At 38.8% G+C, this 13292-nt stretch overlaps 1 protein-coding gene across 1 annotated transcript in view; it reads left to right on the top strand.

Moving 5' to 3' along the window:
- Window positions 1–13292, top strand: part of UBR1 (ubiquitin protein ligase E3 component n-recognin 1) — a 163142-nt gene that overhangs the window by 12280 nt on the left and 137570 nt on the right. The window contains exons 2-3 of the mRNA NM_174916.3: window positions 7519–7775; window positions 11043–11121. Coding sequence (NP_777576.1) covers window positions 7519–7775; window positions 11043–11121 — 336 coding nt within the window. The remainder of the gene's footprint in view (window positions 1–7518; window positions 7776–11042; window positions 11122–13292) is intronic.

The following is a 13292-nucleotide window of genomic DNA, read 5'->3' as shown; positions in this document are numbered from 1 at the left end:
AATGAAGTGCGGTGGCGCGATCAGGGCTTGCTGCAGCCTCAACCTCCTGGGCTCAGGTGATCCTCCCACTCAGGTACCCAGCCTGAGTACCTGGGACTACAGGCTCATGCTACCATGCCCAGCTAATTTTTGTGTTTTTTTGTAGAGATGGGGTTTTACCATGTTGCCTACGCTGGTCTTGAACTTCTGGGCTCCAGTGATCTGCCTGCCTTGGCCTCCCAAAGGGCTAGGGTTATAGGCATGAGCCATTGTGCCTGGTTGCTGTAAACCTTTGAGTCTGTAGAATAATATTAGAAGAAAACATTGTATAATCAAAGATTTTTGGTGCCTAGAGATGCTCTAATTATTACTAATCCATAGTGGCTGTGAAAAATGGTAGCGCCTCCAGGTTTTGTTACCACTTTAAAAAGAAGAATTAGAAAAACAATTACTGGGCTCTGAAGGCTCTGTAGATGTCTAGCAGTTGTTTAAGGAAGGTCAAATTGTGGTTTAAACAAAACTAATCTACTTAAGTAAGTTCCTTTTTCAGAATGATGTTCCCAAACAGGCATCTAAGCTGTTGGGTCAGAGTTGAAAACATATCTCTAGTCTCCTTGGGGATGAGGGAAATGTTTGGAATGTTTGGGAATTTTAATGTTGAGAACTTGTTAAGAACTTGTTTTTTACAGAATAGTCAATTAGGAAAGCTTTCCCTTAATTTCAAACAGTTATTTTTTTTTTCCTGGACTTGGTACTTAAAAATTCTTAATTTTATTCCTGTTGAAAATGGGGGAAAATTTTAAAAACAACCAACCAAAGGCAAAAAATCAAACCTATTTTAGTTGAAAAAAATTTTCCACAGTTTGGCAATAATGGAAAACATTTTTGTGAAGAGTGTAACTGAACTTTATTTCCCATAAAAATTCTAGGCTGGGCGCGGTGGCTCACGCCTGTAATCCCAGCACTTTGGGAGGCCAAGGCAGGCGGATCACAAGGTCAAGAGATTGAGACCATCCTGGCCAACATGGTGAAACCCCGTTTCTACTAAAAATACAAAAATTAGCTGGTTGGGGTGGCACGCGCCCGTAGTCCCAGCTACTTGGGAGGCTGAGGCAGGAGAATCGCTTGAACCCAGGGGGCAGAGGTTGCAGTGAGCCGAGATCGTGCCACTGCATTCCAGCCTGGTGACAGAGCAAGACTCTGTCTTAGAAAAAAAAAATTCTATACACAAAGTTATAGAAGGCTTAATGTTATCAAAATTTGCTTTGTTTTCTCTGGCAAGAAATGTGTAGCATTTAGCAATTAACTGATAACTTTTATTGTGTACTTGTGCTAGGCCTATAGGATACAGGGATTTGAAGAGCAAAGTTCCTCTCCTCAGGGAGCTTACATTCTAATTGAAGAGGCTAGATGTACACATTTAAAGGTAATTAATGATATCAGCCAGTGGTATAAGTACAGAATGAGTACTGCCTTCAAATACTGTATTAGAATTAACAGAAGAAAAATTTTCTTGGGCTGATCAGTGAAGGATTCGCTAAGGTTGGCCTTGAGCTGGGCCTTGAGGGATAAATAAGTTGGTGTGGGGGTGGAGGGACAGAGAGCTAGTAGTGAGACTGATGGAGAGGGTATTTAAGGCATCAGCACCCAGACATTCTGCCTAAATCAGCCAAGAGTATAATTTGTTTTGTTTTTTGAGATGGGGTCTCACTGTGTTGCCCAGGCTGGAGTGCAGTGGCATGATCTCCGCTCACTGACCTCTCCCTCTCTGACTCAAGCAATTCTCCCACCTCAGCCTCCCGAATAGCTGGGACCACAGGTATGTGCCACCGCATCTGGCTAATTTTTTTTTTTTTTTTTTTTTTTTTTTTTTGAGATGGTGTACAGTGGCATGATCTCAGCTCATTGCAACCTCCACCTCCCGGGTTCAAGTGATTCTCCTGCCTCAGCCTCCTGAGTAGCTGGGATTACAGATGCGCACCACCACACCTGGCTAATTTTTGTATTTTTAGTAGAGACGGGGTTTCACCATGTTGCCTAGGCTGGTCTCAAACTCCTGAGCTCAAGTGATCCACCCACCTCGGCCTCCCATAGTACTGGGATTACAGCCACCATGCCCAGCCATGATGTTTTAAAATATCAATTATTCATTATAAAGCATGTGATGACAGATATAATTTAAGAATATTTAGTAGCCTTCAGTAGTGTTCGGTAGTTGTTAGCTAAGAGGCTTCATTTGTAATTGTAATTACAAAGAAGGCAATAGTTAAAGCAAAAATTAAGAAGGCAAAACTTTATTGTTTTGTTTATTTTACCATTACTGGTTGAGTATCCCTTGTGTTTTGGAATTTGGATTTTTTCAGATTTTGGAATATTTGTATTGTACTGGTTGAACATTCCAAATCTGAAAATCTAAAATCCAAAATGTTACAATGAGCATTTCCTTTGAGTGTCTTGGTTTCTGATTTTTGGGTGTGGGATGCCCAACCTATAATGTGAAATTGAACAAGCCAGTAAAGGTAGATTTTAAAACTGTATATTTGGCCAGACACAGTGGCTCATGCCTGTAATCCCAGCACTTTGGGAGGCTGAGGTGGGCGGATCACCTGAGGTCGGGAGTTCAAGACCAGCCTCACCAACATGGAAAAACCCCGTCTCTACTAAAAATACAAAATTAGCCAGGCGTGGTGGCACGTTCCTGTAATCCTAGCTACTCGGGTGGCTGAGGCAGGAGAATTGCTTGAACCCGGGAGGCAGAGGTTGCATGGGCCGAGATCGTGCCATTGCACTCCAGCCTGGGCAAGAAGAGCAAAACTCCACCTCAAAAAAAATAAAAATAAATAAATAAATAAAATAAAAACTGTATATTTATGTTTGGTTTAGTAGAATGGGCACTGAACTTTAGGACTTAGGATACCTAGTTCTGTTCCTGACATTGATACCAACTGGTGATTTGATGATTTTGGACAAGTCAGTTTACTTCCCTGTGATTCAGCTTTCTCATCTATGAAATGTGAGGGGCTTGTACTCTTTTTTACTCTTAAATTTCTTCTAAACAAGACAAATTGAAAAGAGCTAGTTCTGTGCCTCTTATAATTAAGTAGAACAGTAAGATTTTTTGTTTGGTTTGTAGCGCTGAATATGCAAGTTTTTTTTTTTTCTTCATTTAGTGCTGTTGATGAAAAGAACCTTAGGTATAACATAGAACATTAGATATTATCTCTATGTTAGTTGTAGTTGTTGCCAGGTATGTAGAGAAAAGTTGTTTGTGTATGAGTACCCCAGAAAAGTTGGAGTAGGAATACTGGAAGGTATATTTATTTTTAAAAGGTATTAGTAAAATAAATTTTAATTTTAAAATTATAAAATTACTTCCAAAATATGGACTCACTGTAAGGATATTACTCATTCGATAAGCAGAGTAATGAATTCCATGAAAATATGCTAAAATCACACCACCCATTTCTGTTAATATTTTGTTAAATAGTCGTCATGATTTTTCTCTATGTAAATGTAAATATAATATTTAACCAAATTGAGATTTTATATATACTGCTTTGTAACCTACTTTACTGAACTGTTTGTTATTAATGCCTTTCCATATTAGTAAATAAACCTCTTCAGCATCATTTCTTGTTTTAATCTTAGACTATAAAAAATGTTGCATAAATTGTAGCACAGTTCTTTTACCTCCCTCTTTCTGTTTCCTGTAATGTTAACATTTTGCATAACCATAGTATAATTATCAAGGACAGGAAATTAATATAAATACTAACTACAGATCTGATTTGCATTTCATCAGTTTTCCCACAAATGTGCTTTTTCTGTTCTAGGATAACACCCAGGATCCCAGTTACATTTAGTTATCTCTCTCGTCTCCAGTCTGTAACAATGTCTTGATCTTTCCTTGTTTTCATGACCTTAACACTTTTAGAGTACTTTGCAGTTATTGTATGGAATGTCCCTCATTTTGGGTTTGTATGATATTTTCTCATGATTGGAATTAGATTATACATTTTGGGCAAAAATAACACAAAAATCAGCCAGGTGCTGTGGCATGAGCCTGTAGTCCCCGTCAGATCCATGTCCTTGGGAGGTGGGGAGGATCACTTGAGCCCAAGAGTTCAAGACCAACCTAGGTGAGACCCCTTCTCTATTAAAAAGAAAAAAAATAATACAATAATGTTGTGGTGTCTTTCTCTCTGTTACTGTCTTTCCCATTGGAGATACTTTGAGACCATTTGGCATCATTTTTTATTATTTATTTATTTATTTATTTTTGGTTGAGATGGACTCTCGCTCTGTCGCCCAGGCTGGAATGCAGTGGCGCAATCTCAGCTTACTGCAAGCTCCGCCTCCTGGGTTCACGACATTCTCCTGCCTCAGCCTCCCGAGTAGCTGGGACTACAGGCGCCTACCACCACGCCTGGCTAATTTTGTTTTGTATTTTTAGCAGAGATGGGGTTTCACCATGTTAGTGAGGATGGTCTTGATCTCCTGACCTCGTAATCCGCCCTTCTCGGCCTCCCAAAGTGCTGGGATTACAGGCATAAGCCACCTCACCCAGCCAGCATCATTTTTAAATGGGCGTATTATCTCATGTAGTTTTTTTTTTTTTGAAATGGAGTCTCACTCTGTCGCTCAGGCTGGAGTGCAGTGGCATGATCTCAGCTCACTGCAACTTCTGCCTCTCGGGTTCAAGCAATTCTCGTGCCTCAGACTCCTGAGTAGCTGGGATTACAGGTGCATGCCATCATGCCTGGCCAATTTTTGTATTTTTAGTAGAGACGGGGTTTCAGCATGTTAGGCAGGCTGGTCTCGAACTCCTAACCTCAAGTGATCCGCCCGCCTCGGCCTCCCAAAGTGCTGGGATTACAGGCATGAGCCACCATGTGCACCAGCCCTCATGTAGATTTTTTAAAAGTTTTTTTTTTTTTGTTAGTTGCAAAAGTATTGACACTTGTCTAACAAAGTCAAACAATGTAACATTGTTGAAAGTAAAAATGTGACAATCCCTAATTCTTTTCCCCAGCTCCTTCCCTCTGTGTAGCCATTATTAATAGTTTGTTGTTTCTCCTTCCAGACCCTTAGTCTATGTTTAGGGAAGCATAGGCAGAGATGTGCCTCCACATGTATTAAATTAGAAAACCCAGCTACTTGGGAGGCTGAGGCAGGAAAATCGCTTGAACCCAGGAAGTAGAGGTTACAGTAAGCTGAGATCCTGCCATGGCACTCCAGCCTGGATGACAAGAGCGAAATTTCATCTCAAAAAAAAAAAGAAAGAAAGAAAGCCCAAATGTGTTGAAATTTTAAAAGTATATATAATTTTTTACTTTTTACAAAAATGAAATTATGTTTAAAGCTTCTTTTTCCACTTAACAGTATTTATGACATTCTGACTGCATTGAGTGGTATGACTGTACCACAGTGGATATACCTTTATTGATAGACATTTAGGTGGACTTCATCTCTTCAGTTACAAGTGATGTTATAGTGCACATCTGGTGGATGTAAATATATATTTTCACACTTGGATGAGTATGGCTAAATGATAGATTATTACCCTGTCTTCACGGACATTCAGGTTTTTAATTTTTTGCTGTTATGAATAACTGTACATGAAATGTATAGGATTGAAAAAGTTTTTAAATGATTTCAAATAGATAATGTGTATATACAGTAAAAAATTAAAACAGTAAAAAAGTTAACACAGTGAACGCTAAGTTTTTCCCAGGCTCTTTCTACTGCTAACAGTTTATTTTGAATCCTTTCAGAGATTTTTGTATTCAAATATAAACATATACAGATACATCTCCTTCACCTCTTCTTTTTTCTTTTCCTCCCTTCTCCCAGTATAAATGGTAGCACATTATACTCACTGTTGTGTAACTTTTGCTTTATGTTCCATATCAGGACATAGATCTGTGCCCTCTCCTTTTTTATAATGTCCCATGATTTATTCAGCTCTTGTTTTGGGACATTTCGGTTGTTTCCAGTCTTTGACGATTAAAAATAGTCATGCTGCAAAAAAAAATACTTTCTTTTTACATGTTTATCAGAGGAATAAATTCCTAGAATGGGCATTTCTGGGTCAAAATATATGTAAATCTAAAATTTTAATAACTGTCTACAAATTGCCCTTTAGAGAATGGACTAATTTCTATAGTAATACCTAATCTAAACATATTTTCCATAAAGTTTTAATTGTGCATGGAATATTGAGGTTGAATTTATTTGTGAATGGAATATTGAGGTTCATTAGTACAAACTAAAAAAGCCTTATATGTAATCAAATATCTGTAACTTTCCTTAATGACCTGTTATGGAACCTTATCTAAAATCTTAATTCTAATTATTTTATTTTATTTTTTTTTTGAGTTGGAGTCTCACTCTGTCGCCCAGGCTGGAGTACAGTGGCGCATTCTCGGCTCACTGCAAGCTCCGCCTCCTGGGTTCACGCCATCCTCCTGCCTCAACCTCCTGAGTAGCTGGGACTACAGGCGCCCGCCAGCACGCCTGGCTAATTTTTTGTATTTTTAGTAGAGGCGGGGTTTCACTGTGTTAGCCAGGGTGGTCTCGATCTCCTGACCTCGTGATCCACCCACCTCGGCCTCCCAAAGTGCTGGGATTACAGGTGTGAGCCACCGCGCCCGGCCCGATTCTATTAGCTTGTAAAACTCCTTGGATAAGTTTTTGTTGTTGTTTTTAAATGATGTGCCTTGAGTCATATGTGTTTTGTTTTTGTTTTTGTCTTTTGTTTGTTTTTTAAGAGACAGGGTCTCCCTATGTGTTGTCGAGGCTGAAGTGCGGTGCCTATTCACAGGCACACGCTACAGCCTTGAACTCCTGGGCTCAAGCAGTCCTCCCACTTCAGCCTCCTGAGATGGGACTATAGGTGGGAAAGCACTTTTGGCCTAGTTAGCATTTGATATTGCCAGTTTTTTATTTTAGCCACTGTACTAGGTTGTACAGGGGTATCTCATTGTCATTTTAATTTGTGCTTCCCTAATGACTAATAATGTAAGCATGTTTTCACATGCAAATAAGCCATCTGTAACAGTTTCTTTTAAAGAGCAGAAGGTTTTACTTCTGATGAGGTCCATTTTATCTAGTTTTTTTCCTTTTATGGTTAGTGCTTTTTGTGTTTACAAAATTTTGGCCTATGTTCATTTCGATCTCTTGTTAAATACTCTGGTTTCCTAAAACAAAATTTTTGATGAATGCATTGTCTGTACAGCCTGTGACTGATAATAGAACCACCTTCACATAGCAGGAATTGGCCATTTCAGAAGGGAAGGATAATTCTTACTACAGCTACTCTTCTTTTTTTTTTTTTTTTTTTCAGATACTGGTGGTATGTGAGCAGTTGCTTATTTCCAAGCTTAATTTTTTTAATCACCCACTTTCCTTCTGTATTGGTGAAAGATGAAATATACTGTAAATTACTTTGAAATTGTAGAATTATGTCATTATTTGTGCCCCTAGATGATTAAGAAGGAACTTGTAAGTCAGTCTAATTTTCATCTTCTTTTCTTTTAGTGGTGGGATCAGCAAGTTGATTTTTATACTGCTTTCTTGCATCATTTGGCACAATTGGTGCCAGAAATTTACTTTGCTGAAATGGACCCAGACTTGGAAAAGCAGGAGGAAAGTGTACAAATGTCAATATTCACTCCACTGGAATGGTACTTATTTGGAGAAGATCCAGATATTTGCTTAGAGAAATTGAAGCACAGTGGAGCATTTCAGCTTTGTGGGAGGGTTTTCAAAAGTGGAGAGACAACCTATTCTTGCAGGTAAGAATTAGAAATTTACAGGATTGATTATAATTATTAAAATCCTTTTTTTTTTTTTTTTTTGAAACAGAGTCTTGCTGTGTGACCCAGGCTGGAGTGCAGTGGTGCGATCTCCGGTCACGTCACTGCAACCTCTGCCTCCCAGGTTCAAGCAATTCTCCTGCCTCAGCCGCCCAAGTAGCTAGGATTACGGGTGCCCGCCACCACGTCTGGCTGGGATTACAGGCACCCGCCACCATGCCTGGCTAATTTTCATATTTTTAGTAGAGACAAGGTTTCACCATGTTGGCTAGGCTGGTCTCAAACTCCTGGCCTCAAGTGATCCACATGCCTCAGCCTCACAAAGTGCTGGGATTACAGGCATGAGTCACTGCATCCTGGCCAAGTATTACAATCTTGGTATTTTGTATCTATTTCACGATGTACTTGTCTTGGTTTATTGCTATTTATAATACATTTAATCTTATTAATTTTCTTTTATTATACCGTTATAGTTTGGTTTTTGCTAGTATAGCTTGTTTCTGAATATATATGTCTTCCAGTTAAATAGTGCTCACTGTTTCTTCCTGTTCTCCAACGGAATGTCAGTGATAAATTTTTGCCTTGTTCATAATATATCCAGTACACTCTTACCTGAAACTCTTTGGGGCCATTTCAGAATTCTGAATACTTCCCCAGCAGAGTCAGGGCGGGACACTGTAATCAAACACAATCTTTCTTTAAGAAATCTGTGAATATTCATAACAAGTAGTATAAATCATGCCTGTAGTCGCATGTCATTTAAAGTAATTTTTTGCCACCAAGTGAGATTTATTGCCAAACCTACAATCCCAAAACCTTTCAGTTTTGGAGCTATTTGGATTTCAGAGTCTGGCATAAGGGATTTTGAACCTGTAGAAACAGTTGTAATTTAGTTGAATAGAAGAGGCCAGCGGCAGGGAAACTGAAAGCAACTTTAGGCTTTTTATTCTTTGTGAGAGCAGTGCCTTAAACTTCGTGACAGCACAGAGAATGTTTTTACTCCTTACCTCTGCCTGAAATTTGAAATTTAGTTTTCCTTCTTAGAGCTAGTTTAGGTTAGGAGTGTAAAGTTTTAAACTTTATAAATACAGAGAATTGTTTTTACTTCCTTATAATTCTAGGCCTAACTGGTTTATGTACAGTTAACAGTTGTTTAGAACATACTATCTTTCTTTATTCTGTTCTTTTCTCAGGGGAAAAAAAATAGCCTTGGCCAGGCGCTGTGGTCATGCCTGTAATCCCAGCACTTTGGGAGGCCGAGGCAGGTGGATCACGAGGTCAGGAGTTCAAGACCAGCCTGGCCAAGATGGGAAACCCCGTCTCTGCTAAAACTACAAAAATTAGCCAGGCATGGTGGTGGGCGCCTGTGATCCGAGCTACTCGGGAGGCTGAGGCAGAGAATTGCTTGAACCCGGGAGACAGAGGTTGTGGTGAGCCGAGATTGTGCCACTGCACTCCAGCCTGGGCAACAGAGCAAGACTCCATCTCAAAAACAAACGAAAAAATAGTCTTTGCATTTTGTGTACCATGTTGCTATATAGTATAGTAAGGGTCATTTATATTCTTACATATTTTTAGCTAAAGCCCAATCAGTTTCAACTAAAGCATGCTAGACATTTGCAGACCTCATGTCTCCAAAAGTTTCATGGAGATATTTTTAGTTGTTACAACTGGGGATGAAGGTACTGGCATCTAGTGTGTAGAGGCCAAGATTCCTGCTAAACATCCTAATGCACAGGACAGTCTGGTTCACCCCCGACAAATGATATCTGGCCCAAAATGTCAGTAGTATTAAGGTTGAAAAATCCTACTCTAAATAGGTCTATAGATGATATATATTTTACAGAATATTATTAGACAACCTATATTTCCTGTTAGCTTTTTAAGTTGTTGTTTTTTGTTTGTTTGTTTGTTTTTGAGACAGAGTTTCGCTCTTATTGCCTAGGCTAGAGTACAGTGGCGCTATCTCAGCTCACCCGCAACCTCCACCTCCCAGGTTCAAGCAATTTTCCTGCCTCAACCTCCTGAGTAGCTGGGCTTGCAGGCAAGCACCACCATGCCTGGCTAATTTTTTGTATTTTTAGTAGAGACGGGGTTTCTCCATGTTGGTCAGGCTGGTCTGGAACTCCCGACCTCAGGTGATCCGCCCACCTTGGCCTCCCATAGTGCTGGGATTACAGGTGTGAGCCACCAAGCCTGGCCAGCCTTTTAAAATCTTTTTAAAATTCCCCAATTTTATCTCTTCAATTCTTCTAAATAAGATATTTAAAAAATTAATCCTGGCCAGGTGCAGAGGCTCACGCCTGTAATCCCAGCACTTTGGGAGGCTGAGGTGGGCAGATCACTTGAGGTCAGGAGTTCGAGACCAGCCTGGCGAGCATGGTGAAACCCTGTCTCTGCTAAAAATACAAATAATTAGCTGGGCGTGGTGGCGCATGCCTGTAATCCCAGCTACTTGGGAGGCTGAGGTTCGAGAATCACTTGAACCTGGGAGGCTGAGGTTGCAGTGAGCTATGATTATGCCACTGCCTTCCACTGCGTTCCATCCTGGGTGACAGAGTGAGATTGTCTCAAAAGAAAAAAAAATAATAATCCTGCACTTTGCACTAATTTATATTGTTCTTAATGTCTCCTCCAAAATGTTAAATAAAACAATGCATTTAAGAAGTTGTTATTAAGGGAGAGATGAAGAGGGATTGAATTTCTTTCATTTGTTCAATGAATATTAAGTACCCACTATATGCCAGGCATCATTGCAGGTGTTCGGGACACTTCAATGTACAATGAATAGAAATCCCTGCCCTTATGTTGCTTGCATTCTAATGAACTTTGTCTTTATCCAAGCCTCATTTAACAATGAGCAATCAGCTTTTGTAAAATATATTTGTTTATGTAATAGGATGAGATGATGGTAGTTAATGGAAAAAGTGGATTATTTTTTACAAAACTATTTTTGAATTGTAATCTAACAGTTCGAAACCAGGTCAAGGCCCAAAGTTATGAGAATGATTTCAGAAAGAAAACCAAACATCCAGACCTACACACTTAAATGTGGCTAAAATGAGACTAAAGTTGTGCTAGCAATATTATCTTTGTTCAAAACATTTTAACAATCCAGTTTTTGAAGCATTTTCATATTCAGTTTGTGTACCATAGAGGAAACTTGTTCACATTGTATTATAGTCATACCTTGAGCATCAGTGGGAGTCATCTAAATTTTGGAATCTGATTTCTGATCTTTTTCAGGGATTGTGCAATTGATCCAACATGTGTACTCTGTATGGACTGCTTCCAGGACAGTGTTCATAAAAATCATCGTTACAAGGTAAGAAAATATAACCATAACCTCTGAATAAGCAGGAATCTGATGGCCATCTAGTCCAAATTCTTGAGTAGTATTCACATTCCTGCTATAACAGCTCTGATATGTGAACATAGCCATTTTAAAGAAAAGATTGGAAGAGATAAGGGATGTGTGTTGCTTTACAGAAAAGAAAAAAGGAGTAATTTTAGGGAGACTCAAGATCAGATATTATGTGATGAAAGGACCAAGATAAACCTTCAGTTGCAGAATAGTCCATAACAACTTTTGAGAACAAGAAAACAAACAAAATTTTGAGCTCTTTGCTCTACAGTGTGTAATATGACCCTTCTTTGTGATCTCTAGCCTTTCAGTAGTTTACTACTAAAAAAAAAACTTACAGTAAACCTCTGTGTATTCTTTCTCAAAAATACATACATAGAAACGAACATACACTTACTGTTAAAGATTGTTTTTAATAGAAATGTTTTTTTCATGTTGTTAAATGAGAAAAATGAGCTATAAAAAGAGTGTATTTCTGCAACTATCTCTTTTAATCAGGAAAAAAATGTAGTTTTCAAAGGAAGTTTGTGGAGTTATAAAAATAAAATTTTGTTATACTTTTAAATGTAAAAAGCAAAATATATAAAATTATACATTGTGCTTTTTTAAGAACATATTATGTATATAATATTTAACCATATTTTATTTTTAAATTTACCTATTATTGGGGTATTTATTTGGGTTTCAGTTTTTTTAAAATGATAAACAGTGTTACAGTAAATGCCTTTATGTGTAAATAATTTTTTTATATGTAGGATTATTTCCTTAGGATAGGTTCTCAGAAGTGGAATTACTGGATTAAAAAATATGGATTTTTAAGAGAATAAAATGGCAAGAGATAGACTGAGCAAAAAAACTTTGCCAAACATACATCTTAAAAAAAGGCCAGTGCTAAAATTATACAAAGAACTCTTAAAATTCAAGAATAAGAAAACCATCCCTTTAAAAAATGGACAAAATATCTGAATAGACACTTCATCAAGAATATATACAAATGATCAGTAGTAAACACACTAAAAGATGCTCAACATCATTTGTCATTAGGGAATTGCAAATTAAAACAATGAGATGTTACTATATACCTATTAGAATAGTGAAAATCCAAAGCACTGACAGCACCAAATGCTGGTGAGGATGTGGAACAACAGGAACTTTTCTTTTTTTTTTTTTTTTTTTTTTTTGAGATGGGGTGTCGCTGTTATTTCCCAGGCTAGAGTGCAATGGTGCGATCTCGGCTCACCACAACGTCCGCCTCCTGGCTTCAAGTGATTCTCCTGCCTCAGCCTCCTGAGTAGCTAGGATTACAGGCGTGCGCCACCACACCTGGCTAATTTTTGTATTTTTAATACACATGGGGTTTCACTCTGCTGGTCAGGCTGGTCTTGAACTCCTGACCTTGTGATCCACCCGCCTCAGCCTCCTGAAGTGCTGGGATTACAGGCGTGAGCCACCGTGCCTGGCCAGGAAGTCTTATAACTGGTGGAAATGCAATATGGTATAACTACTTCAGAAGATAATTCAACAGTTTTTTACAGAAGTAAACATACTTTTATCATATGATCCAACAACAGCACTCCTTGGTATTTACACAAATGAATTGAAAACTTATGTCCATACAAAAAAACTGCACACGAAATGTTTTTTTTTTGAGATGGAGTCTGGCTCTGTTGCCCATGCTGGAGTGCAGTGGCACAATCTTGGTTCACTGTAACCTCCACCTCCTGTGTTCATGCATTTCTCTTGCCTCAGCCTCCCAGGTAGCTGGGATTACAGATGTGTACCACCATGCCCAGCTAATGTTTGTATTTTTAGTAGAGACGGGGTTTCACCATGTTAAGCTGGTCTCAAACTCCTGACCTCAAGTGATCCACCCACCTCGGCCTCCCAAATTGCTGGGATTACAGGTGTGAGCCACCACGCCCGGCCAGTGAATGTTTTATAGCAGCTTTCTTCATATTTCCCAAAACTTGGAAGCAACCAAGATGTCCTTCAGTAGGTGAATGGAAAAACTGTGGTACATACATACAATGGAATATTGCTTAGTACTATAAAGAAAGGAGCTATCAAGTCATGAAAACACATGGTGGGACCTTAAGTACATATTGATAAATGAAAGCAACAATTCTGAAAAG

This window comes from Homo sapiens, chromosome 15, assembly GCF_000001405.40.
Source record: "Homo sapiens chromosome 15, GRCh38.p14 Primary Assembly".
Lineage (NCBI taxonomy): Eukaryota > Metazoa > Chordata > Mammalia > Primates > Hominidae > Homo > Homo sapiens.
Note: the sequence above shows the minus strand (reverse complement) of the source record. Positions and strands in the feature narration are given on the sequence as shown.